Raw genomic sequence first — 27922 nt, 5'->3', positions numbered from 1 at the left:
ATCGCACAGCCCTGGCCATGTGCAGAGACCCAAGCTTGTGCTTGGGCTTATGGATGCCCAGGAGCCAATGCAGCTTCTGAAAGCTCCCAGGAATACCTTCTTCCCCAGATTTCACTTTCAAGGTTTCGACTTAGCTTGTTTTTGTTTCAAGGGTTCTCCCAATCTCAGGCAGCTATGTTATTGAACAGTTACTTTTGTTTGTTTGTGTTTTTGACAAACACCCTCTGAGAAAAGGCTGTTCACCCTGGGCAATGTCTGCACCAGGTGAACGGAAGACAAGCCTTACAAATGAGACTTTCTACAGCAAGTCCAGACAGGTCAGATGATGACAGTCGTCTGAGATTGGGACTTTGAAAAAGGCCAAGTTCCGTTCTAAGCCTTTGAGTGGCTGCTTTGCTGCTAGTTGTGATCACAGCATTTGATTTTCAAGGCTGTCATGGAGCTAGCAGAGGGTGATGTGAATAGAGCAAGTAAAAATATCACAAAACTCACTCTTCTACCCAGAGTTAGCTGGTTTTCTTCAATATAAGTACTTCCAGATGAGTATAAGCCTTTGGTTATGTTCTGGAGTTTTAATAAAGTTTATTTTGGTAATTTTGGGGAAATGTTCTTGTTGTTTTTATGGAAAGAAGTGTTTTTGGAGGTCCTTGCTCCACTTTTCCTAATGATCTCTAATCTAACTTTAAATCAAACACCAAAGTCTAAATCTCGAATATGGCTTTTTGTTTGTTTGTTTTTTGTTTTGTTTTTGTTTGTTTGTTTGCATTTTCCGATCTAGTTTGCTTTTGATACTTTCCAATTCTCCATTGAGATTCTACATTTTACCTTTTATCTCACTGAATATGTGATTAAAATTAAAGCAGGCACTTTCTAATACTAATCAAAAGTTACTTTACATCTATAGCAGAAGGCTGCATACCATTTATATAAAATCAAAGATACAAGAACCAAATGGTAGAATGTGTAGGGATATATTCTGTGATAAAGCTAAAGAATAACAAAGAGAAAAAAAACAACAACAACAAAATCCAAGATCATGCTGTCTTCTCCAGTTAAGACGAGAGGATAGGATTTGAAAAGGAGCACGTGGGTAGTTTAGTGATATAACAAATATTTTATTTCTTAATTTGTATGATGAGTTCATGAATACATCTTCCATCATTATGCTTCGTAACTTACATATAGTTTATATTACCATACATTGTCATTGCATATTATACATTTGCAAACCAAATCCTATGTATCAATAATAAAACTGTAAGTAATTCCATTATTTTTTACCATCTGAACATAAAAAATAATTAGAAAGAAATAGCTTACTGAAAGTAGCATGATTTAGAGTATAAAAAGAAGATGAAAAGTGTTGACAACTGTATATTCATTAAAACATAAAGCCCTGGAATATTAGTTTTGATATAAATGATCTGAAAGGTCAAGATGCTAAGAAATGCTCTCATTATAAACAGAAAGTCTGCAACGTGAACTAATCAAGGCTTCTCAGATGATGACAGGGATTGAAACCTTGACACAAATATGTTTTGACAGTAGTCAAGGAATTCAGAATAAGAGTCTATAATTTAATCAACTAATTCTAGAAGAGGATCCATAACCAGAAATAGTTTCACATAGGGAGGTACAGAGGTACAAAGAAGGTGGACAGTAAAAATAAGACAAATGAAAATGACAAGCACTTTCCAAGATGTGTGAGCTTGCTTTGGGTGAGAAAAGATGTCTGAAGTTAATAACAACTTAGGATAGCCCTGCAGAGGTGCAGACGATTCTTAATGCTTATGTAGAATGTTTAATCTTATAATTCTGCAGCCCACGGTATAAGCATCACAGCTGGAAGGCATAATAGGATTTTATCAGTTTACAGATGTGAAGCACAAAACTCAAAATGCTCACCAAAGAACACTATTACCTCACTCAGTCATATTTCAAATGGCAAAACTATGATTTCAGCGTTCATGCTAACTACTATCATATTCAGGTTACAACCAATACTTAGCATAAAAATTGAAGGACTCTAGTACAACCTAAGATTTTCAATTCTAACAGAAAAATACAATATTTATTCTACATATATATACATATGTACTTTGCTTATAACTACTTAAACATACTTATCTTTTATAGTATTTTAGCCATCAGTTTTCCAAGGGAATGATGGTAGGTACACTTACCAACTTATGTAAAAGAATATTACCACATATTACACATATACTCAAATGCATTGATATTTATAGGTAGAGGTAAGCACACATAATTCATACCTGTGTTAATTAAGATACGTGCATACACAAAATTCCATTAATTAAATATCTCTTGAGCACATACAGCAGAGATAAAATAATATTACATCTTAATTTAACCTTCATACGTTGAATGAGCAAGTTACTATGTTTATTAAGTAAAGACACTTTAGAGTTCAGAAAGTGGAAATAGATTGAATGTGTCTAATAGATCCTTCTTCCAAGTCCTCAGTACCATGGCAAAGGCATTTAAAAATAAATATGCAAACCCACAAAGAGGTGACCATCAGGGGAGCAGAAAGCCATTCAACAATATTGTAATCTGGAAATAAAACAGTTGAGTAGAAATTCATCTAGCAGATCCAAATAGGCACCACAAGCTCATGGTGAGGGAAGATGGAAAACAATGTGATTTAAATGCAGATCCTCAAGCCTGGGCACGTTGGCTCACACCTGTAATCCAGGGACTTTGGGAGGCCAAGGTGGGTGGATCGCTCAAGCCCAGGAATTCAAGACCAGCGTAGGCAACATGGCAAGACCCTGTCTCTACAAAAATTATAAAAAAATTAGGTGGGCATGGTGATGCATGCCTTTGGTCCCAGCTACTTAGGAAGCTGAAGTGGGAGCATAGCTTGAGCCTGAGAGGTCAGGCTGCAGTAAGCCATGCACCACTGCACTCCAGCTGGGGTGACAGAGTGAGACTCTGTCTCAGAAAACAAAAAAACAAACAAATACATACATAAATAAATACATGCAGATTCTCAAAAGGTGCAGGGACCCCCAGTGCTGTTGGAATTCGGGATGAAAAATAGGACTGCATCGAAGAGGTAGACTGTGAGGGTTAATTATGTGTCAGCTTGGCTGGGCCACAGGATGCCCAGATATTTGGTCAAACGTTCATTATTCTGGAGGTGCCAGGGTGGGTGTTTTTAGATGCGGTTAACATTTAAGTTGGCGGACCGAGTAAAGCATGCTGGCCTCCCTGATGCAGGTGGGCCTCATCTAACCAGCTGAATACCTAAATATGAATAAAGGGCTGACATCTCCGCAATTAAGGGCGATCTCTGTTAACTGATGGCCTTTAAACTGGGATGTCAGCACTTTTCAGCCTTTGACTTGAACTGAAATACTGGATCTTATGTCTTGAGTTTGCCAGCCTTTGGACTAGAACAAAACCATCAGCTCTCCTGGTCTTTGGGCCTTCAGACTCAGACTGGACCTAAATCATTGGCTCTCCTGGGTCTTCACGTTGCTGACTGCAGATGACATGGTCTCCTCCATGGTCATGAGAGCCAATCCCTTATTACATATACACACTCACACGCATGCCCGCACAGACACATCATATGGCTTCTGCTTCTCTGCAGAACCCTGACTAGGACAAGAACATGGACTCTTCCTGTGAAGCCGTTCAGCCCCCAGATTGTTTTCGCCATCTCCAGGTATCCAGTGGCTGCACCTGTTCTGTTTCACTCCAATATGCTCAGGTTGACTCTGTGAGAGGGAGTCACGGAGGTTCTCAGACAGGCAGAAGCCACCGAGGCTGAGGGCACAGCTGCCATTTTGCAAATGAGAAGCAGACCAACCTCTGCACACCAGATGCTGGCTGCTAGTGGTCTTTCCAGAGCTAGTCCCAGGGCACAGTTAGATGAATTCCTACTTTTCAGACAAAGATGAGATGACAGTTTTATGAAAAATCTCAACTGCCAAAGAGAAAAAATAAAGACATGACATTGTGTCCTCCACAGCAAACAATCCATCTCATGACCAAGCTCAATGTTCAGAAAACCCATCTCTGGCTCAGAACTTCCAAATAGCAGCTGATTTCATCTTTTTTATTTATAAATAAAGAATTATGGATGTCCTGATGCCTGAGGAAAGTCTATGATGCGAAATAGAAAGTTTATACAAATCAGAAAACCAGTAAACAACTTAAAGGAGGAAGAAAAAAAGCCAGGAGCCAGGTATGGTGTGTGCCTGTGGTCCCATCTATTCGGGAGGCTGAGGAGGGAGAATTGCATGAGCCCAGGAGGTCGAGGCTGCAGTGATCCATGATCATGCCACTGCACTTCAGCCTGGACAACTAGAGAGAGAGAGAGAGAGAGAGAGAATGTCAAGCATATTATCATAAGATTCTCAGAAAAACAAGAGAAGTTACTGTACACATGAGGTAAGAATAGTGTGTGACTCATAAGGACATGCTTCTGAGAATTACAGGGAACCTCAATTAAAAACTTGGAAGACACAGGCCAGGCGCAGTGGCTCACGCCTGTAATCCCAGCTGTGATTGGGAGGCCAAGGTGGGCGGATCACGAGGTCAGGAGATTGAACCATCCTGGCTAACACGGTGAAACCCCATCTCCACTAAAAATACAAAAATTAGCCGGGCGTGGCAGCGGACGCCTGTAGTCCCAGCTACTCGGGAGGCTGAGTCAGGAGAATGGCGTGAACCCGGGAGGCGGAGCTTGCAGTGAGCCGAGATTGCGCCACTGCACTCCAGCCTGGGCGACAGAGTGAGACTCCATCTCAAAAAAAAAAAAAAAAAAAAACTTGGAAGACATAGTTAGGAAATTCTCCCAGAAGACAGAGCAAAAACACAGGAACACAGGGAGAGGGAACAAGGACTAATCCTAAAAGTCTTACTACAGTAATAACAGGAGTCTCAGACAGAAAAAAAATAAGAGAGAAGATGGGAAGGAGGGATTCAATTAAGTAGTCCAAAAAGAAGAGGTTCTTACCTCAGGAAATAGGCATTAGAATACCTTTAGATTTCTCAAAAACAACACTAGAGATTAGAAAACATTGAAGAAATGATTTCATAACACTGAAGAAAAAATATTTCTAAGTTAGAATTCAGACAAACTCCTAGTCAAATGAGAAGATACAGTGAAGACACTACCATTATTAATGAATTAAAAATAAAAAATCCCCGTACATCTATTACCAGAAACTACCTGAGGATGTCCTTCACAGAAATGAAGGCATAAATCATGAAAAATATATATATATAAGGTACAGGGAAAACAGAAGATTCTCACAGGAAGGAGAAGAGAGGAAACCCAAGATGGCGATGCAGGGGATTTGAAAATGGCTACCATAGGCAGCAGGCAGTGGGCGACCAGTCCAAACTGGAATAAGTATGGAAATTGTTGGCCACGAACAGTGCAGAAACCTGTATCCTAACTGTGCTTCCTCCCAAGACAACTGAGAGTCATGATGAAAACAAATAGGACCATTATTTCAATCTCAGAATTCTTCTGTTGGATGCCTATGAATTTCAGTGCTTACCATGAAACTTGGGGTTATTTCTGAATCAACTTTGTGGCAAAAACATTCTGATCTCTGTAGAATATAGAAGAAAACAAAGGGATGTTCAGATAAAATAAACTCTCTTATAGATATATACGTTTATATATGCATACAATATTTATGACAGGATAGGATAATCTGTTAGCATTAATTGTATTACAAAGCAAAATTAGATGGCTGAAGAAATACTTTATAAATTAGATTTATATTTTCACTATTTTATCTTATTTCTTTTGAATTTTTCACCATATACACATTTTATTTAAATTTAATAAAAAACAAATTAATGAAAAATGAAAATACCATTTGAACCAGCAACTTGACTTCTAAGCATTTGTCTTATATATTTACACATATATCAATCATCTACATGGAAATATTTTTATAGAAGAATTTTCATTGCAACATTGTGCTAGAAAAATATTGGAAATAAAACAAATGCAGACAATCAAGAGACTAATAAAGAAATAAATAGGTAATAGAAAGAGAGATGAGATAAACGGATGGATGAATAGATGGATGGTTAAATTGAAGTATGGATGAATTCATAGATAGATGGATAGATAGATGACTGATAGAGATAGGTAGATAGATGATAGATAGATAGATAGATAGTTGTAGGCAGGCAGACAGCTACAACATTCTTCAGTGGCAAAAATATGAAGAAAAAAGTTATCAACACAGAACTTTTTTTTTCTTTTTCTTCCTTCTTCTTTTTTTTTTCTTTATTTTTTGAGATAGAGTCTCACTCTGTCACCCAGGCTGGAGTGCAGTGGCATGATCGCGGCTCACTGCAACCTCCACCTCCCATGTTCAAGTGATTCTCCTGCCTCAGCCTCCTGAGTAGCTGGGATTACAGGTGCCCTCTACCCCGCCTGACATCAGGTGACCCTCCCCCGCACCTCGGCATCCCAAAATGATGAGATTACAGGACTGAGCCACTGTGCCTAGCCAACATAGAACATTTTCTGATGTGCATTGTTAAATGAACCAAAAGCAAAGTTAAAGTATAATATGCTACCATTTGTGTAAAGACACAAGAGAAATACTAACTTTTCATGTTTTGTTAGATGTGCATAAAGTACAAAGCATGTGGAAGAATATGAGGTCATTAAAAACATCAATTTTATCTGGAGAAGAGACTTTCTGGCAGGGGGCATGTGTTCTCATGAGGATTTTCAGTGCATATTTATTTGTATCTTTTATATTTTGAACATGTGGATATATAACTCATTCAAACATTAATGCTTCATTAGAAAAGGTCAAGGAAAATACTGGATGTGGGAAGCATATGAGAAACCATATGAAGATAGGTGACCCAAGAAAGAACAGATCATATAGAGAATTTTTCAAGATAGCTTTATAAAAGGAAATGTTGCAGCGGTATTTAAGGCAATCTTGATGGATAAATGTTGTTCTGGAAGAATATAGATGAAAATTGTTTGAAATGCTTGTTCCCCGGTGCCGTAAAGAAATAGCACTTGTACATAAATTTAACTTCCTCAGCAAGCCCATTTTTATACTTTCTGCAGGAAGGGAACACTCACCAGCAGTTTTGCCACGAGAGTACACCAAACAAAGGAGACAGGGTCATTTATAACCTGACGCAGCCACCCTACTGCTGTGTCGGGTTTCCATTGGCTGGAATGGGACCTCACATTCTGTATTTGTCCCGATTGGCTAGCAGCTTAGAACTTTTAAAGGAGGCAAAGGCAGAGGAGAACAAAGGAAGGAGGAAGTAACTGGTGGAATGCTGAGAAAGGTAAAAACACCTTCAAATAAGGAAGAGGAACAGGCTATGACCTAATGCTTGCTTGGACCAGTATAAGCATGCCAGGGCAAATATTTGGGCTACATTTTGGAAACTAAGAACATAAAGTACATTGATTTCTTTATTACAGCTAGCAGATATTTAAGAATGTCAGCACAGGTGTTTGAATAAATTTTGCTTCTAAGAGAAGTTACTATTTATTCCTAATTAGATGGGGAGGAAAGTCTTTGAAGAGGAACCTCTACTTTACTTTTTACAAAATGAAAGGGAGAAAGTGGTCAGGATTAAAACTTTCAGGCAGAGAAAAAAAGCTGAATAAATACATGGATATAGAGAACCTATGGACCATGTCCCAGGATGACTGGGGCATGGGAAATATGTAAGGACGTCATTAAAAATAAGGCTGATATTCCTGTTGCAAAGATGGTGTTGAGTGCAGGAATGGCATAGTGTCAGAACAGCACTGTACAGAAGAATGATCTATACATAAATGAAAATCTTTTAGACTAAAGGGGAGACTAATTATCATTTTAGAAATTTAATTGTTTGGAAATCATTCACCATTTTGTATAGTATTTTGAGATACTGTTGATTTTACAGAAAGTCTTGCTGGAATATTATGGATGTCCTTTTTCTTGATTAATTCGTTTCTATTATGTTTATTTTACTTTACGTTTCTTTATCATAAAATTATGGTTAATTAGAGTTGGTTGACTTTCTGCATGACTTGTCACTTGTGTGCATGTTTGCGTGTATGAGATAAAAATTAAAAAACACTATTAAATTTGTGGTCAAGTCTTTGGGAGCTGGTGGCAGGAACCGTGTGCACGAAGTACTCATCTTCTGCTCCCAGGCATCTTCCACTTCTCTTGGTCATTGTTTTAAAATGTACAATTAGTCATGGCCTGTGGGCGTGAGAAAAGTTCACCAAATTGCATAAACAATATTTTTAATAATCAAAAGTCTTTTGAAAATGTTAGAAATCCAGTTAATATCCACAGTGTTGAATCCATGGAAAACCATATCTACAATCAAAACAATGTGTTAAGCAGAGTGAACATATTTATTAATGATGTGAAATAAGCAGTGTATTTTATCTCTTCCAGAGTGCTTTCTAAGACAATCCCCAACTGAGCAACATTTAATGTGTTGATTATCAGCTATGTTGCAAGGTGCTGGGCTATGGAATACATACATACATACATACATACATACATACATACGAAGTAGGAGTACCTTTAAGGAGGGCACTATAGTAAGAAAGATATATTTATAGACAATTAATGATAATGTATTTTGAAGTATTGTATTACAGATATGCACAAAATCATTGGGATCTGGTATTTACGCTAAAACTTACAAAAGTTTTGGACTCTTTTGAAATGTGCAGAAGGGCACACTCACAAGCCAAGACCAAAGTAAACATCTAGAAATGACTTGAAGATGTTCATACCCACTCCCGCCTGTATTTTCATATCTATTTATTTGACATCATATTAAAAAACATTCCTGAATTTCAGCATTTCAGTGTGCGGCATCATCATGCAAGCTCTGTAAGAGGAGAGTAAGATCAGTACTCCTACTTGTAAATGAAAGAGAAGAAAACAAAAACAAGCAAATTCCTTCTAAGGTGTGAGGAACACGAGTAAACAGAGAAATCACCTAAGGAGAAAACAGGAAGCAGATTTGAAACTGTGGCCACCAACGACACGAGGGAGCGCAAAACCCAGCCCACTTGCCAGGGAGGCTGGCAGAGCCCACACCCAGTCTGGTGCCCTGGTCGGTTACATTCTGCTGTAAGTTATTCCTGCCTTTAGCTCATTCTATCACAAAGCCCAAGCTCTCAATGCCCGCAAAATGAGCCAGCAACAGGATTATTCTCATAGAAAATGGACCATTGACGGCTCAGTCGTTAAAGCCAATTCAGACGAATCATGTCTTCTTCCAAGTGCACAACTATCCCTAATGTGTAACTAATACATATTTGTGAAATAACTTATTACTGAAAATTAGGTTTTAGTAATTTGTAGTTATCAAAATAAATTCAGTTTGAACAAATGGAATATCAGACCATAAAAATTCATAGGATGTAAGAAAGAAAATAGTAAGAAAGGCAGATTTCTCATAAATATTATAAGTTTCATGATGGTTCTATGCTTATAGTTCTGAAAATATGTAAGCAAACATCTTAAAGATCAATGAGAAAAATGCCCTTTTGGATATATTAGAGAACAATTCAAGGAGAAAAAAAATCACCAATTCAATGGTGAATTTGAATGGTGAATATTATCACCATTCAAAAAAACAGGGTATCATTAATATACAACCACAATCCTATTAATATCTACTAATTGTGGGAAAACATGATTGGAAATGGAAACAAAAAATGCAATATGAGATTGGTGGGAAATTTATGTTTTACCATAGGAAAAAATGTGAACGCAAATTACGTTGTTCTTTCGGGATGTACACTTCTCCCGCCTACGACCGAATAGTGAATAAGGTTCACAGGGATTATGTGAATCCTGGGCAGGTCCTGAGCTACTCAGCATTGAACAGCATTCGAGGCCACTGCAGTGGAGCCACTCTCATCAGTAACAGGTGTATTCTCCCCTGGTTTTCATCCTAATACCAAGCAAGTGGGATCTTGTAAGCATGTGGTTTTTCTGCCCTTTCCTGGCAGTTGTCAGATTTGTACTTACGTAGCAGCCAGGAGTACATTATTGTTTCCAAGGAAAGGAAATGGCACATCTCTTTGACATTGCAAGATCTGACCCACTGCTTTAATTAGCATTTTTACAGAAAATAATCTGAAATGACAGGCAGTCTTTCCTACTTCCTTTCTGCATTTCAGTTTTGAAGCAGCGTTCAAAATCAGTTGTGGATCAAGTCAAGATGAACTCTGAAACAATACTTTAAATACCCCTGGATGATTTTGAAGGTATTTGTAAGTGAGAATAATTCATTCTGCTTTAAAGCATAAAATCAACTTCCCCCAAATGCAACATGTTAGTTAAAAGAATCATACCCTTTTTAAAAAAAACTTTGATGGCATCCAGCCAGAAACTACCTGCTCATAATTTGCTGAAATCTACATAGCTCATCATTTCACGTTGTAAACTCCATTGCACATAGAACACATAGCTAAAACAGAGGAGCCTGCTAAATGCACATATTTGCCACTGGGCTGGTCCTGGTCTTTAAATGTGGCACACCAATTCCACAGAAGAGAAGGTCAAACTGCTTTGAATTTGAGAGACTCAATCCTTTATTTCCATCAGACTTCCAGAAAAACAGTGACCTGAAATGGCAGAGGGGTTCCTCAATCCTTGTAGACAAAATATGAACAACCAGGCTTCTCTCCCTTCCAATGGAACGTAAATGGAAAAAAGCAAACCACAGCCGCCTGCATTTAGGAGAAGCTTTTATTTATCTCATTATCAAGATCCTTTTAATTTGCTAAGAGTTTCTTATGGCAAACAAATACCTCTTACCCCCCACTTCCGAGAATGCGGGAACAGATGAAAGGAAAGTGTAATGGTTTTGATCTCATTAGGACATCGGCATTAGTGGGGCAGCAATTATAAAAGTAATTGACTCTGCTTCACCCGGCGTCGGGAGGGAGTCATTCTGAAGACCCATCGTGCTCCGAGGTTGGGCTGTCATCCTTCATCTTCTGCTGTGTGCCCGTGTGTTAGGTTTTCATCCCTCAAAGGCATTCAGTCTTTCTCTGGGACTCAAAGTGCAGCATAAGAAATATCTTGGAGTGTTGGTTATTGCTGCCTGGGATTGACTGTTCAGATACAGCTCCATCAGGGAAACCAAATATGTTGCTGCCACCCTGACATTTTTGTGTTTTTCTACCTGATCATCTGTATAGGACAAGGGAATTTCTTCTCTGTGGTGACCTGTCATGAATTAATGATCCCAGCATACCCAGTAAAGTTTTTAATGTGCAGTATGGGTTAATTCATAAGACATGGTCTGACTCAGGTTTGTTTATACAAAAATGTGCTCTGTCCACACCAACATGGCACATGTATACACGTGTAACAAACCTGCACGTTGTACACATGTACCCTAGAACTTAAAGTATATATATATAAAAAAACAAAACTAGTTATTGGGCACTATACTCTCTACCTGGGGTTGCACCCCAACTCTCAGCATCACACAATATACCCATGTAACAACCTGCACATGTACCCTCTGAATATAAAATAAAAGTTGAAATTATTTAAAAAAAGTTCTCTGTCTACTATGAATTTATATGACCCATGTTTTTCAGTAACCTTTAATTTTAGAATAGTTTTCAATTCATAGAAAATGTTTAAGATACTCCAGAGGGTTCCCATGCACTCTGTATCCAGTTTGTGTTATTGACAGTGTGTTTTTAGGGTATATTTGCACAAGGGAACCAATATGGATGTGTTCATCTTTACTAAAGCTCATATTGTATTCTTGTTTCCTCATTTTTGTCCCCCATGTCACCTCTCTGTCTCGGGATCCCATGAAGGACACTGGGTGACTTTGAGCTGTCATGTTTCTGAGGCTGTTCTTGGCTATCACAGATTCTCAGACTTTCCTTGCTTTCGATGACGTTGACAGTTTCAAGGGAGACTGGTCAGGTGCTTGGTGGATTGTCACTCAAATGGAGCTTTTCTGATGTCTTTCTCATAATTAGGCAGGAGCTAAAGACATTTGGGAGGAAGACCACAGAGGCAAAGCGCTGTTCTCATCATGGCACATCAAGGGCACACCAAGGCGACTTAGTGTTGTTGGGGTTTATCTTGATCCTGGCCTCGGGTTGTGTTTGTCACATTTCTCCACTTAAAGTGGTTCTTTTTGTTTCTCTTTCTCCTTGTCCACCTTTTGCTCTTTAAAAGAAAGTTGATGTGAGAATCTCACACTTCAGGAATGGAGAGTTGTCCTCTGCCTCCTTGAGGGTGAAATATCTTTGGGAACTACTTAGAATTATTTTGTATGGGAGACTTATTTTTCAATCAATAAATAGAGACCTATAAGTTGATCTTGTTTATTTATTTATATGGTCAATCATTTATGTATATCACTGTGGACTTGTGAATACTGATGTTAGACTTTGGGTTATATTCCAATACTATTTTATTTATTTTGTTGTTCAAATTTTCCAGATTTGACCACTGAGAGCTTTTATGACCGGGGCCTATGTCCCTTTGATATAATCTCATTGTTGTTTTGTGTCTGGGAATTTTTTTGTTTTGTTTTGTTTTGGGGGCTTCACACTACTTTTTGGCACTACAAGTTGTGCCAGGCTCATGTGGTTTGTTCCCTGCCCCAGTCCTAGGGTCAGCCACTTCTCGAAGGATCCTGGTTTCTTTTATTGGAGAACAGTATTCAAATCCATGATTATGGCTGGGCGCAGTGGCTCATGCCTATAATCCCAGCACTTTGGGAGGCCAAGGCAGGTGGATCACTTGAGGCCAGGAGTTCAAGATCAGCCTGGCCAACATGGCAAGACCCTGTCTCTACTAAAAATACCAAAATTAGCCTGGTGTGGTGGTGCACATCTGTGGGCTGAGCTACTTGGAAGACGGAGGTTGCAGTGAGCCAAGATTGCACCCCTGCACTCCATCCTAAGCAACAGAGTCTTGAAAAAATAAAAAAAGAGAAATGTGTTAAAAAAAATTCATGATCAGCGTTCCAGTTGTGCTCCTTGTTACTGGAGCATTCTCATCCTGCAGAACAAGTAAATGTATGTGTGTGTTCTAATCCATGTACCTATAAATACCTCCAAATATTTTACATGTATCAAAGAAAATATGAGACTCCTGCTGTCCCCACTCCATTCCATTGCCCCATGCACTATGCTCGTGCCTTTGTCTGTGAGCTCCCACTCTTCAGCTGGAAACCTGCTCTCATCACCCGCCATCCATTCATTAATTACCTCCCTCCCATGCCCATCACCCACCATCCATTCATTAATTACTTCCCTCCCATGCACACGCAATGTGGTTTTAGTGTGTTGGCTGGCACCCCTGTGGGAAACCTCTTTATCAATCAGAGCACAGTGCTTGTGTGCAGTTCCCTTTGCCTTCAGTCTTCAGAATCTACTCATTTTCAATGTCTTTAGGTCAGCACCTCTGTCCCCTTCCAGTGAGGTTGTTTGTAATGTACAGTTGTAGAAGGTTTTGTCCCCATCTACATTCTTTCAAGGGTTTTCTCAACCTCATACATTATTTGCTTTTAATTTTTACTCAATAAGTTTCATTCTTTGTGCCATAAGTTTCTCCAGGCTCTGAGAAGGGCATAGCATCACAAATCCATTATCACAGTAATATGAAGAAGAATATCACAGCCTACAATTCTAAAACTCTATTTTCTATGCCATATTAATGATTGTTGTAAGTTAATTCTTTTTGGAGGGGGGGGGCCCTTAGCCAAATTTAGTGATTTGAAAATCTCTTTCACTGTGATTCAGAAAGTTTGATTTGATAAAATGCTTTTATTTTAGTCTGATGTTTTTGCTAAAGGGAATCAAATAAATGCAACGAATCCTTGGAATTGACTCAAAGGCCCAAAAGGGTCAAATGACAAAGAACTGGTCTCCTACAACGTCTCTGAGAACAAGCTCTAAGTGGCTCATTCCAGACAAGGAGCACTTGTATGTAAGCGGAGACGTCATCGTAGGGCAGCAGGAAGTTTCATATCCCTAGAACCTAGGAAGCTGTGACACGACATTTACTTTTCATCATTTTGCTTTGTTTTTATGTAGAACTAGTATCAGGAGACCTCCCTTTATTTAACACTACTCAAAAATATGACGTATGATAGGCATAATTACTGGGATTTAGGAGTGCATTCTAATTTAATTTTTATAGCTTTTTTTTTTTTTTTTTTGAGACAGAGTCTCACTCTGTCTCACAGGCTAGAGTGCAGTGGCATAATCATGGCTCACTGCAGCTTCAGCCTCCTGGGCTTAAGGCATCCTTCTGCATTAGCTTCCCAGGTAGCTAGGACTACAGGTGTGTGCCACTACCCCCAGCTAATTCTTTTGTTATTATTTTTGTATAGAGATGGCATCTCACTTTGTTGCCCATGCTAGTCTTGAACTCCTGGCCTCAAGCAATTCCCCTGCTTCAGCCTTCTAAAGTGCTGGGATTACAGGCACGATCCACCATGCTGGGCTCCCCTTATAACGTCTGAGCAAAGTTTTCCTTTATAGCAAGAGAACAGACCTCCACCTACATATGTAACTGTAGGATATTTAAAAGTACATTATATTACGTAATGAGGAGGCCAAGTTATAAATCAGGCCCAAGTGGAGAAAACCCCATAGCAGCATTTACAGGCAACACCTTCCGTAGACAGCTCCAATGACTGGGAGACCCAGCGTGTGTGCATGAAGCCACTTCAGAAGGAAAAGGTGAGGTGGAAACATTGCGTCTCTAAGCATGCGAGTAGCAAAGACTCGACCTCCAAGGCTTTCACCGACAAACAGAATTCCAGGAATAGATATAGACAGATGACTCGCTTTTAGAAAAGAGCTCCTGAGAGCATTCCCGTTACTGTGGCCGGAATCTGCCCCCTGGAATCTGCTCCATGACTGGGACGGGCATCACACGAAAAGCAGCCTTTGGAGCTCTGGCTATCCAGCTGCTCGGACACTCGAGAGTGTAGACAGCATCAATGCATCTTACTCTTGGGTTCTGAGGCTGACACTCCAGAGTGTAGACAGCATCAGTGCACCTTTGTCTTGGCTCTGAAGCTGACATTGCAGAGTGTAGACAGCATCAATGTGCCTTCCTCGTGGGATCTGAGGCTATGCCTTATTGCTGGATCTAAAAAATTCTGCTCAGTTTGTCAGAGGCCTCTGTGTCTAAGAGATGGCTTTCACATTATTTGAATTAATTTAGATCTCCTGCAGCCAGGACCTTCAGGATTTCTAGTCTGCCACGTAGAGGGATAGCCAGATCTCTTCTATTTTTTCTATCAAAGACATCTTAGTTTTGTGCTTAACAGTCATATTTGGTTATGTTTTTCTTAGTCCAGCCATTTACTTTAATACAGTCTTGCTTGTTTTCCCCCAATAATTTTAGTTCCTCTTGCATGTTATTTTCTGTTTTAAATGCGTTTTATAATATTTTCTGATAATTCATTTATCTGAACTACAGGGCTGCACTTGTTTCTGCTGATCTTGATTTCTTTTTTTAATCTTGGTGGCTGGCTCCCTGGAGTCAGAAGCTTAAGTGGCCTGGAGAGATCCATCGTCCTGGGGAGAATATGAATTGACTTCCATGATGTGAGCCTAGGGGCATCGTAGACCCAGAGTCAACCTCATGTCTCTACTTGAGCTTTTCTGAACCAAAAACATCAGTAAAATTTGACTTTGAAACCCTTGAGACAGTTTTTGGGGGTCTTTTGTTTGTTTATTTGAAGTTGAGAAAAAAAACATTCTTACATGCAGAACCCAGAGATGTTTCTGTTCTGTCTGGGCGGAACAGGCCCACCGGCCCTTTCTCGAGGAGGTTTTCACTGTGACCTTGGCTGTATTTTGGGTCTCACTTTCATTCCACACTTGTACCATCTCTGTGTCTTTTCCTGTGTGCTCTTTCTGTAGGTTGAAAGCCAGACCTCTAAGACACCAAGAGCAGCCAATGCCCCAAGGTGGCAAAGTGCCAAAAATTGTGTTCTGTCTTTGCTTCCTGTGAGATTCTTGCCCTTGGGAACTTCCCTGTTCAGTCCAAGTTGAGGATTGTACTTGACAGACTTTAAAAAATCTTTTATCTGACACTTTGAGGTGTTTCATAGTAGGAACACTTTCAGAGTGTTATTTTTGGTTGCATTGTTTTTGAACATCATCGATTTTATTTTCAAATGAACACCTTAGATTATTGCCCATGAACTCTTTGACAGATGATAAACGAGGAGACACAGAAGAGTTAAGTGGGCTGCTCCAGCTTCTGCATTGATTAGTTTTCAATTCTAAACTCCTTCTCAAAGCTCTCGGCCTCTGCTGCCAGTTGCATCTCCACCACATCACGGTGGGTACTCAACACGCCAAGTCCAGGTGGGTGCGAAAGTGGACGACCCTCGTCTACTTTAGGGAGGCCCAAAGGCTGAGAGGTGCACTTTGACCATAGCTATTGCAGTCTTAGTGTATCTTCCCATGGATTATGCATGGATTTCAAGATACAAGAAGAGCGAGTTTCCAGTGGAGAAGCCTGGCAGACAATGGCACGATCAGATATCTGAAGTCCACATCACCAGGGTGGGGGCCTCCAGCCATGAACACCCCCTGAGCAGGAGACTAAGGGGTTCACCCCACGACAGCAGACTTTCTGCCAAAAATATCCGATTGTAAAGCAACACCAGGCAAACCCAAATGGAGGAATGTCTTATAAAGTCACACATGCACTCCAAACGGGTCACAGCCCAAAAAGAGAAAGGAGGAGAGGAAGCAGGGCCACACCAGCCTGAGCCAGAGAGCACCACAAACCAGGAAAACTTTCCATAAAGTGTGGTACTGGGACCATGAGTGGGGCGTGATAAGGAGCTGTGATTTACATAATAATATTCAATCGAAGTGAACATGCTTTATTTTGATGATGCTTTGGGTAATAAAAGAGAGTATCTTTTATTTTATTAATGGAATAAAGAGGAAGCATGCCTCCAACTTCATATCAAATAACTCAGACAAAAAATCATATATATATATATATATATAAAATCAAATATATCAGTCACGTGTGTGTGTGTATGATGAGAGGGGAGAGACAGAGATAGATAGATAGAGCAGAGATGGAGAGAGAACAAGTGAGGAAAAAGATAAAAATTGATGGATTTGGGTAAAATACATGCTCTAGTTCCTTTTGGTATTCTCAGACTTTCTGTCTATGTTTGAAACCCTAAAAATATAAATAAAAGTTAATAACAAATTATATGAGAGGAAAACAAATTGAGCACACAACCAGTGTGTCAAGCTCTGGGACTTTCATCCCCAAAATGGCCCCATTTCCTAATTTGCACAAAAGCTTTTGGAGCCCAGGAATTGCTCTGTGCTCTGCTCTGAGGCTCCTGGAATTAGTCCATTCATTAAATAAATTATCATGAGCTCTTATAACATGCCAGGCCTTTTTCTAAGCTCTCAGCATAGAACAGTGAACAGCATTGACAAGGTTCCTGCTTCTACTGGAGTTTACATTCCAGCAGACAGTGACAGAAATCAATCACATAGAGGAATATTTATAGAGTTTCTAACGGTAATGATTTCTTAAAAGAAAGATATACTATGGCAAGGAGATAGACAATCGGTGCAAAAAATTCAATTTTTGTGTGTGTGATGGATAAGGAACACTCACTGATAAAATCTTGGTAAAAATAGAGATTGTGAGCAAAATATGAAGACTTGTGGGGCAAGAGTATCCCAGGCAGAGGAAAGACATAGAGAGTAAGCATGTTTTGCTTTGTGTTAAGGTGAAGGAAGGAAGGAAGGAAGGAAGGAAGGAAGGAAGGAAGGAAGGGGAAAGGGAGGGGAGGGGAGGGAGGAAGGAAAGGAAGGAAGGAAGGAAAGGAAGGAAGGAAGGAAAGGAAGGAAGGGAGGATTGAAGGAAGGAGGAAGGTGAGGGAGGGAAGGAAGGAAGGAAGGAAAGGGAAGGAGGGAGGAAGGAAGGAAAGAAGGAAGGGAGGGAGGGAAGGGGAGGAAGAGAGGGAGGAAAAGAGGAAGGAAAGGAGGAAGGGAGGGAGGGAGGGATGGAGAAAGGAAGGAAGGAGAGAAGAAGAGAGGAAAGGAGGATTGAAGGAAGGAGGAAGCGAAGGGAGGGAGGGAAGGAAGGAGGGAAGGAAGGAAGGAAGGAGGGAAGGAAGGAAGGAAGGAGAAGTGGGAAGAAAAGCAGAGGGCAGGGACTGCCGGAACCTTGTGTGAATCACCCAGGGCAGAGGACTCCATCTTTCGCTCTGTATTTGCATCTCCCGAGGAGCTTTTAAAAATATCAGTGTCCAGGTGCCATGACTCGGGGTTCTGATTGAATTCATTCGTGCTTGGTAATTAGCATCTATATTTTTCACAGGCTTCCCTAGACTGATTCTAAATTGTGGCTGGGGTGAGATTCATGAATCACTGCCGCTTAGGCTGTAGTATTTCATTTTTATTCTGCGTGTGATGGGAACCTCCAGATTAGGAGCTGAGGAATGACATAGTCTGACTTGCCTTTAAAAGCACCCTAGAGAGAACTGACTGGGGAATAAGGTTAGAGGTTAGGACAGTGTGGCAGTCAGAGAGGCTGGGTGCTGGTTTGAATTGGGTGGTCCTGGAGCAGTCATGAGAATGGTTAGGGATCTGGATGGCTTCTTACCACAGAGTCGCTCTGCTATGCACTCGGTGGACCGGAGGCTTTTCTTCCTGCCAAGTCTGTGTGTTGAATCCTAATCCCCGATACGATGGCATTTTGGAGATGGAGACTTTGTGGGGTAACGAGGATTAGATGAGGTTGTGATTGCAGAAAACTCAAGGGATTGGTGCCTCCATGAAAAGATGCCCCAGAGAGTTCTCTCCCCTATTCTGCCATGTGAGGGACACAGGGAGAAGGTGCCATCCATGAACCAAGAAGCCAGCCCTGCACGGACCCTGAATCCGCCTGCATCTTGATCTTGGACCTCCAGCCTCCAGAGCTGTGAACAACAGGCCTCTGCTGTTGTAGCTTCCCGTCTGCGATACTCGGTTCTAGCATCTCAACAGACCAAGACACGCTCCAATTTGCCAATGTTTGAAGCAGGGTATGTGAGAAAAAGGGCATGAACCTCCGCCATTCTCTGAACAACAACGTTTTTGCCATTTCCTAAGACACAGGAGAGCTAGGGAGAAGAAAGTTGGTGCCTGGGATCAATACTTTAGTTTTGGACATGGTAAATTTAAGAGATCCAATTCAGAAGTCAACTAGCCCAGGGGAATGAAGAAAACTGAGCCCATTAGTCTAGAAAATTAATATTTACACATGATTCATTCGAAGAACTAGGAAGGCTCGTGCTGACTCTTACTTCTCCTGAAATTGCATTTTCACTCATAGAATAAAGGCAGTTTATGAAATAAGACATATCATTAATTTCTTCAACTTTTTTGTAATTTGTAATATATGTGATGCATCATAAACTTTCATTTCAGTATGAAAATGTGTTTCTGTATTATTTTCTTTGAATAGCAACAAAACGACAGAAAACAAGTCGCTAAGATAATTATTTGGGAATTCTATTTAAAGACTATCTTTTGAAGAAGTGGAGATCTGACTCATAAGTTGTTTTCTATACAGCATCGCATTAAAGCCTCAGGACTGCCTTAAAAAGACAGGTTTGGAACTTGCTGACCTCTGGCAAGCCCTCTGTAATCCGTACCATGCTCAATTCTTTCACCGAATTCTAGCACCCGAGGAGCCCCTGTCGGAGCAGAAGGTCTGGGGTCGTTGCTGACCGACCGACAGCTAGGGCGTGGTTGAGGCAGCTATTTGCAGGTTCCACGAGGACCCTGCTTTATGGCATCTGTAGTCTCTGCCCATCCAGTTCCAAGACCAACTTCACCACAGTCTAAAAGCGGAGTTTTGATGAAATTGTATTAACCAAAACCCAACGTGAATTCAATTTTAATGTCCTTTTTGCAGAATAAATATTCTGACATATTCTTCAGTAGCACAAATTGAAGTTTTAAAACTAAGAAACAGGAAAACCACCAGTGTGTTCTGAGTAAGGACAGCTTTGACCCAACTTATCTCATCAGAAAGGCAGACATCAGTGACTCAGTGGTCTCGTCAGAAAGCTGTCACTCAAATTCACTGGCACTCCTGCCATTTTGCCCAATACTGAGGGTTCCACAGGGTTCATGTCACCTCATGAACTAACAACAATTTAATACTGAAGAATACGAGGAAATAATGTTCACATAATATCAAATTATAGCCACAGGTTCAAGCATTCACTGAAATGTCTTACTCTGTTCCTAAGATTGTGTTACTTCAAGTTTATTAGTGTTTTGTTTATTCCATCATCTGTTAGCTCCCTGCAGCATTTTTAGAAGGTACCAAATAAGAAAAACGTGGATGAAGATGGAGAAAGCATACAAAACTTTTACACACTGGTTTGAAGGTAATACTATTTATTTTGTTTATTGGTAAACACCTTAATCTAGTTCACTAGCCACTAATGGTCTGCAGAAATAGATTGGTGCAAAAGTCATTGCGGTTTTGGCTTTTTTTTTTTTTTTTTCCTTTTTTGACACAGAGTCTCACTCTGTCACCCAGGCTGGAGTGCAGTGGCACGATCTCAGCTCACTGCAAGCTCTGCCTCCTTGGTTCACACCATTCTCCTGCCTCAGCCTCCCAAGTAGCTGGGACTACAGGCACCTGCCACCACGCCTGGCTAATTTTTTTATTTTTTTTTTTTGTATTTTTAATAGAGATGGGGTTTCACTGTGTTAGCCAGGATGGTCTCGATCTCCTGACCTCGTGATCCTCCCGCCTCAGCCTCCCAAAGTGCTGGGATGACAGGCGTGAGCCACCACACCCAGCCGGCCATTACTTTTAATGACAAAAACTGCAATGACTTTTGTACCAATCTAATACATTAGAAATAGCCATTTCTGAAAGGTAAATATGTAGGTTTCACGGAACAGACACTGTGTGGCATGTGGCATTAGGTAGCATGTGCTTTGCTTACCAGCTTGTCTTAACAATCAGGTGAGGTGACCCGGTACAGGCATCTGCAGACTGGCTTCAGGACTAGGCAAAACACCTAATGTCTTGAAGCCTCACTTTCTAGATCCTTACCTGCTAAATGAAAAGGAAGCATAGTATGGGAATCATAGATTTTGTATGAATTGCATGGAGAAACGTGAAGTGCTTAGCAAAATATCTAATATAAGGTAAGTTTCCAGCATGTTTTAATAAACTCATAAATCATCTCACAAAAATTGATATGCATGTTACCTTTACAAGTATGGAATAGTGGCTTAGGGAAGCAAATTGAGTTATTTAAAGTCCAACATGTAGAATATGACACCTAAAATCCAATCGAGGTCTATGCACCTGCACAGCCTCTGTTCTCTACACCATACCTCAGTGGTTCTCATAAGCATTCAAGGATTCCATCCAAGAATGTTTGAAATAGCCTGCAAGTTCCAATGGTAATCTGGTATATAGTTTCTTTCATAAAAAGAAAGAATATTTACTTTTGCTTTGATATTTTTTGCTAAAAAATGTTTTCCCTATAGTTTTAATTATAAGTTAATATATGTGACAGAATAATTTAACATCAAAAAATTCAAACATCTCAGTGCTGCAGACAGTACTTCTTAAGATACTCTTTGAATATTTTGATAATATTGGAAGCAAATATACCACACTAGAAGTGATTTTTAAGCATTGGAAATCGCCCCATATAGTAGCCTGTTGCAGAGAACAGGTGCAAATACTTGGATAGTCGGTGGTCTGCACCCAGCGTCAGAGCACCCTGGTCAACTGCACTCTTGGATGTGAAGTATATACAGATGCCAATCTGTGCCATATCTGCAGCTCTCTGACTGGCCAAGCTGCGACCACCTTCATCCTTGCAAGTCTGGCATTTCCCAGTGTTTTTAAAGCAATTATTACAGCCCTTGACAAATATAGGATCTGCTGGCCAAGGAACTTCATTTCTAAAACTCACACCTTCATTCCACACCTTCATTTCTAAAACTCACACTCAAACTCAACCAGCATAACCTTGAAGGCACTAGGATGTGTTTTGGAATCCCATAATAAAGACATTAACTTGGCGGAAACAGAGAGACACATTTGTGGCCAGGGGTGCTAGAATAAAGCAAGCTAACTCTGACTTCTGGGTTCCTTGCAGCCAAAAAGGGACTTCAGAAAAGCCTTCTCTTATAACTCCATGTTCAAAATTGTCCTTGAAAATCAAGGCAACAGCACCAAGCCTTCAACCTATTCCTTTTTAACGCCTAAAATGCAATTATTGCCCATTGTGCTATTTTCAAGCAGGTGATAAAATATCTGGATACTCAACATGTTCACAAACCCCAAACTGATTATCCTGCTACATTTTTTTTTCCAAATAATATACAGCAGGCATAAATTTCGTGTTGAAAATTTCATTTAACAGCATCTCCACATATTTTACTAATTTGTGTTGACTTAGAAGAACACGTGATTGTTGTGATCCTTGGCGACCTTGGTATACCACTGTTTCATCAGCGAGTTAAAATTTGTAATAATTTAAAAAACATTTCAGAAGCAATGTTCTAAGATACGTTTTAATCTTGGTTACGCTTTACTCTCTCTCTCTTTTTTTTTTTTTTTTTTTTTTTTTTTTTTTTTTTTTTTTTTTTTTTGAGACAGAGTCTTGCTCTGTTGCCCAAGTTGGAGTGCAGTGACATGATCTCGGCTCACTGCAACCTCCACCTCCCGGGTTCAAGCGATTTTCCTGCCTCAGCCTCCCGAGGAGCTGGGATTACAGGTATGCGCCACCACGCTCGGCTAATTTTAATATTTTTAGTAGAGACAGGGTTTCACTATGTTGGCCAGGCTGGTCTAGACCCCCTGACCTCAAGTGATACACCCACCCCGGCCTCCCAAAGTGCTGGGATTACAGGAGTCAGCCACTGTGCCCAGCTGCATTTTACTTTTGATTTTGCTGCAAAAGATAGTGAAACTTTGAGACTTTTAATCTAAGCAGTTGGCCTACAAATGTAGAGCTACGTCCTTCAAATGCCTGAAAAGACAATTTTTTTTTTCCTTTTCATCAGTTCAGCTGTTATCATGTCTGTGTTTACTATTAACATTTCTGTTTTAAAAGCCAGATCTGGAGGATTTTCATGACTAGTTTAGATCTGTCACTGGATCCTACATGGAATAGTTGTGCAATCCTCGCTGAGCTGCTACTGGCAGCTGTCTTTGGAACAATGTACAAATGGAAACTGCTTAAAACAATAGCCTGAAGCAATTACATGCCAATAACCGCTCAGAGACTACCACACCTGCTTTCCATCCATCCTTATTAACAAGCCTAATTCAAAATCAGAATTGATAGGAAGTAAACTAACCATTACCAGCTGGTACATGCAGATGTCTAAACAAATGTCATTGAGGTGGGAAACCTGGATTTACTATAACCTGCAAATATGTGCGTTGCAAGTTCAGAACCTTTTTTGCTCCATCGTGTTGGAGCCAAGATGATTTTATGTTCAACGTGCAAGCGTCTACTTTCTTCTGGAGTGAGAGAAGGAACATTTATAAAGCAAATTGATCTGTGCAAATCAAGGCTTTTCCTATTTCAGGAACCTTTTTGTATTCCTGATCCAGTCTCTAGAGATAAACAATTTTTAGCATCCCATCTTTGATAGGGGTCCGGGAACAGACCAATTTAGTGTGTAAAAACAGCGTTAATGACACTCATGATCTTCCTAGCTGTGAGGAATGGCGCACATTATCTGCAGAAATAATGGCATATGTGAGTATTAAGGCTGTGTTAAAAATACTCACAAACGTATCTATCATTCACGTTTCAATATGTTCTCAACTGAGAACAGCCTTCAAAGACAGACAGAAGGGAATGCTATCAAATAGTCCTCCTTTGCAGCTCACAATTGGGTTTTCGCCAGGGCAAGCCGTTGTACATTCCTTGAAGTCAGGTGCTCTGCTCAACAGAAGGTGTGCTGAATAACGTTACAGGCTCTGTTCCCGGGAGACGTGGAAGGTGAGAACTATGGAGGGGAAAGGGCAGAGGATCGAATGAGAGCGCATGGGTCAACCACAAACCTTTCCATTCTTTACAAATTGGAAATCTTTTAAAAAATACTTTTAATATGTTAGACACTTTTTTATGAGAGGAGTAATTTTGTTCTTATTCCATATGGTTTCAGAAGTGAAGGATCACCAATATTAGAAACTATGTGTGCATTGTGTGGGTGCACCTGCAACTGCATAGTTTTTATTCGGTGTAGAACAAGACACAAAGTCTTGCTCCAAAAGTCTTTAAACCATCAGAATGATGATACCAGATCATAGTGATTATATAGATAGCCTATTATAATTAGTTAATTCTTTAAATGTCTATTTTACAGGAAAAGTGAAAACACAAAACAACAGTATTTAGAAGTGAAGAGTTATTGACCAAAATGCTCATGGGGGAAAAAAACCAGAAATGTTAACAATGCAAGGACTTAGAGAAGCTGAAAATATTGCTTTTCTTCCTGATGGCTTATGTTTGAGGAACTGCCTCTTCTGGGAAGCCTTCCCTGGTTGCCTCATTTAAGAGCAAACTTCTCCCTCCTCACCATCACTATTTCTCTTGCTCTGTTTAATTTCCTCCCTCATCCTCATCACTTTCTGAAGCCAGATAAATGTTTCTTTTGTTTACAGCTGGTTGATGATGAGTCTTTCCCACTAGAAGATAAACAATATGATCCCCAAAAATCCCCTTTCTAACACTACATCCCTAAAAGCTAAAGGAAAACCTGAAAACAGCCATTCAGCAAAATTAGGAATAAAAACCAATACAACCCCCAAATGCTTCTACAAACTCATTGCTATCAATCAATGGATCTTGTTTTGTACATATTAACAAACAAAAAAGGGGCAGAATCTTTTTTCCTGCTATGATACATTTTTCACTTTTTAAATGCTGTAAATCTCATGCCAATTAGTTTTAGTGCATGTCATTGATCAAGGGTTAAATTGAAACTGTGGCTTCTCCAGGGTTTTCGGCTATTTTTTGGAGAAAAGCAATTTCAACATTCTGATGAGGGCTTTGCCATGCGAATTTGAGAAACTTTTAGCAACATTGATTACGCTTTTTGCTTAAATCTGGACATGCAATTATTATCATTTCAACCATTTCAACAGAGAGGATTATCACGTTGTCAAATCCATTATTTTTATAAACTATGAGTAATTGGTAATTAGTATACCATAACAATAATTATTGATATATAATTTTTCAAAAATCTCAAATATTGCTAAATTGTACTGTAGCTAAACAGAAAAGTGTTTAGTTCCATACATTTCACAGTAATACCGTTTGACTAAATCATTTAGAACTCTTTAAAACTGAGATCAGTAAGGACATCAGTAACAAATGGTGAAAAGTACTACAAATATTAAGTTGATTTTGATGTTATTATTTGATATGGTTTGGCTGTGTCCCCACCCAAATCTCATCTTGAATTGTAGCTCCCACAATTCCCACATGTCATGGGGGGGACCCGGTGGGAGGTAATTGAATCATGGGGGTGGGTCTTTCCTGTGCCGTTCTCATGATCATGAATAAGTCTCATGAGATCTGATGGTTTTATAAAGGGAAGTTCCCCTGCACAGGCTCTCTTGCCTGCAACCATGTAAGACGTCCCTTGCTCTTCCACCATGATTGTGAGGCCGCCCCAGCCCTGTGGAACTGTCAGTCAATTAAACCTCTTTCCTTTATAAATTACCCAGTCTCTGGTATTTCTTTATTAGTGGTGTGAGAACAGACTAATACCATTAAATCTCTTAAAGTAATTCACCTACCTTTTTATAGTAATAAAAATGATGATGACCATGATGACAATAAAATAACTAACACCGCATGTGTCAGGGTCTCTTCCAAGCACTACCTGTTGCTGTGTATTTTTTGACACAAAGTTGGCTATATGCATGTGTTAAGGTGTGCTTGTGGGTGCAATTGGTTTGTGATTATTGGCCAAGATCAAATCTGTGAGTCATCTGTTCTAGGGTACCTGACTTAATAAGGCCTTCCAAGGCACAGTGTTGTAGAATATTCTTTAATATTTTCCTCTACAGTGTTTATGGTATTAACTAATGAACCTGAAATTTATTTTGAACATTGTATTTAGCAAGGTCTCCCATTCTTGCCTAAATGGAGACCCACAATCTTTTCTGAATAACCCATCTTGTCCCCAGCTGATTAGAATCACCACCTTATTAAGTCTCATTTCCATTTATATACCAAGGTTGCATCACTAGTCTCCTCTGCAAATATGACTGAAAAATAGAAATAAGCAGAAAGATGGGGGTGGTGAGGATAAAAGGGGGGAAGACAAGAAACAGAGGGGAAAAAGGGAATGGAAAAGAGGAGGTGAAGGATGTAAATTTAATGGGAGTTTATTCTCAGCCAGAATGTTTTCCAAGGGAAACAGAATTTCAAATAGTTAGGGGTCTTCCTCCATTCTAATTGAGATCAGCAATTGAATAAGATTATTTTTCCCTGATTAGATATATGACATATGGCTCTAATAGGGAAAATATTAGATTTATAGTCAGAATATCCTAGTTCAAAATTTGGCCTTGCTCATTTGCAGAGCTTTAGTGAGAATCAGGTGATGTACAGCATGAGGCCATTTCTATATGTGCATTAGCAGAAATTGTATATTTTAGTTTTAAAGGTGATCAAATATATTGATATCATTGTCCTTTAAAAAGTAGCTAAGGACTAATATATATGTGTATATATATTTGAATATATTTGAAAACCACTAACGAGTCAAACATATCTATTTTAAATTCTGTATAACTGGGCCTCATGACCCTTGCTAAGGCACTAAGACTGCTCCATTGGGGGATATATTAGTAATTTGAAGCAAAATTAAACCAAACTCTGCACAAAAGAGAGAAAATGCCACATTAGACTCCTTTCCTGGCACAGTTGAGCAGGTACTTAAAAGCTTCAGGATTTGTGAGAGATTAACGACTAAGAGCTATCATCACTCAGTAATGAACAATAAATGTTAGAAACAGAAACCTTAATCCAAAATGTGGGTTCAAATTTACATTTGAACTCATTCTAGAATGTAAAATAATCCTATCCTATAACTGATGTATATTATTCTGTCTAAATTATTTATATTTTGCTCACAAACCGTCCATATTCATAAATATCATGTTTGGATTGATTTATTTTTGTCTTTATACTGCCTGTTCATCAAGCTCCCAGGCTTTTAATTAATCTGGATTTGGGGTATAAATTCTTTGTGCCTTGATTAATACCAAACAGGCTTTATTTAATTAAAGAGACAGACTGGTGAAAGACATTTTAATCAAAAATTTCATATGCATACAGTACATCTGTATTTAATACTCGGAAAGGGGAAAAATCCCTGATTTATTGTATTTATTTTTTAAATGTTTGAATAAAGCAATAGTTCTATTTCCTGTGATGAAACCCTTTATGTTCCTCCTTCATCTTAAAGCTGTCACCGCGCGGAACATAAAGAACAGGCCAAGACCAGTGCAGGCATCGACGACTTTCTCCATTCAGAGCCTCCGCGCATCCCAAATAAATAAACACATCAAAACGTGCAAATACTTCCTTAAGTTTTCTTGGTTCCGATCGCCCTGTTTAGGCCTCTTGCGGGTGTTATTTTTCACAAAATGTCAGTGAGGAAGTGAAACTCAATCCTAAAATTTAAGGGGCTCATCATGGTTTTGAATGCGTGATTTTATGCTGTTGAAAATGGGCAGCCTGTTAAAATCAGTATTTCATTCATAGACATCTTGATGAAAAGGTTTTCTGTAATTGCACTGAAATCCAATCGTTGTTTTAGAGCATGATTTACATAACATTTTCTTCATCAAGATAC

The 27922-nt window shown here is 39.5% G+C and overlaps 1 long non-coding RNA gene across 4 annotated transcripts; it reads left to right on the top strand.

The window, feature by feature from the left end:
- Window positions 1-7240: 7240 nt before the first annotated feature.
- LINC02662 (long intergenic non-protein coding RNA 2662) lies at window positions 7241-27645 on the top strand. 4 transcript variants are annotated; one of them, NR_184092.1, is made up of 5 exons: window positions 7241-7323; window positions 8853-9128; window positions 10187-10273; window positions 20353-20442; window positions 27533-27645. It is a non-coding gene; the product is annotated as a long intergenic non-protein coding RNA 2662 (long non-coding RNA). The 4 variants fall into 4 exon arrangements; NR_184091.1 differs by lacking the exon at window positions 10187-10273; NR_184093.1 differs by lacking the exons at window positions 20353-20442; window positions 27533-27645 and having other exon boundaries at window positions 7241-7439; window positions 10187-11578.
- The last annotated feature ends 277 nt before the right edge of the window (window positions 27646-27922 follow it).

The sequence above is a fragment of the Homo sapiens genome, chromosome 10 (genome assembly GCF_000001405.40).
Source record: "Homo sapiens chromosome 10, GRCh38.p14 Primary Assembly".
Classification (NCBI taxonomy): Eukaryota; Metazoa; Chordata; class Mammalia; order Primates; family Hominidae; genus Homo; species Homo sapiens.
The sequence above is the reverse complement of the archived record's forward strand: the minus strand, read 5'-3'. Positions and strand labels throughout refer to the sequence as shown.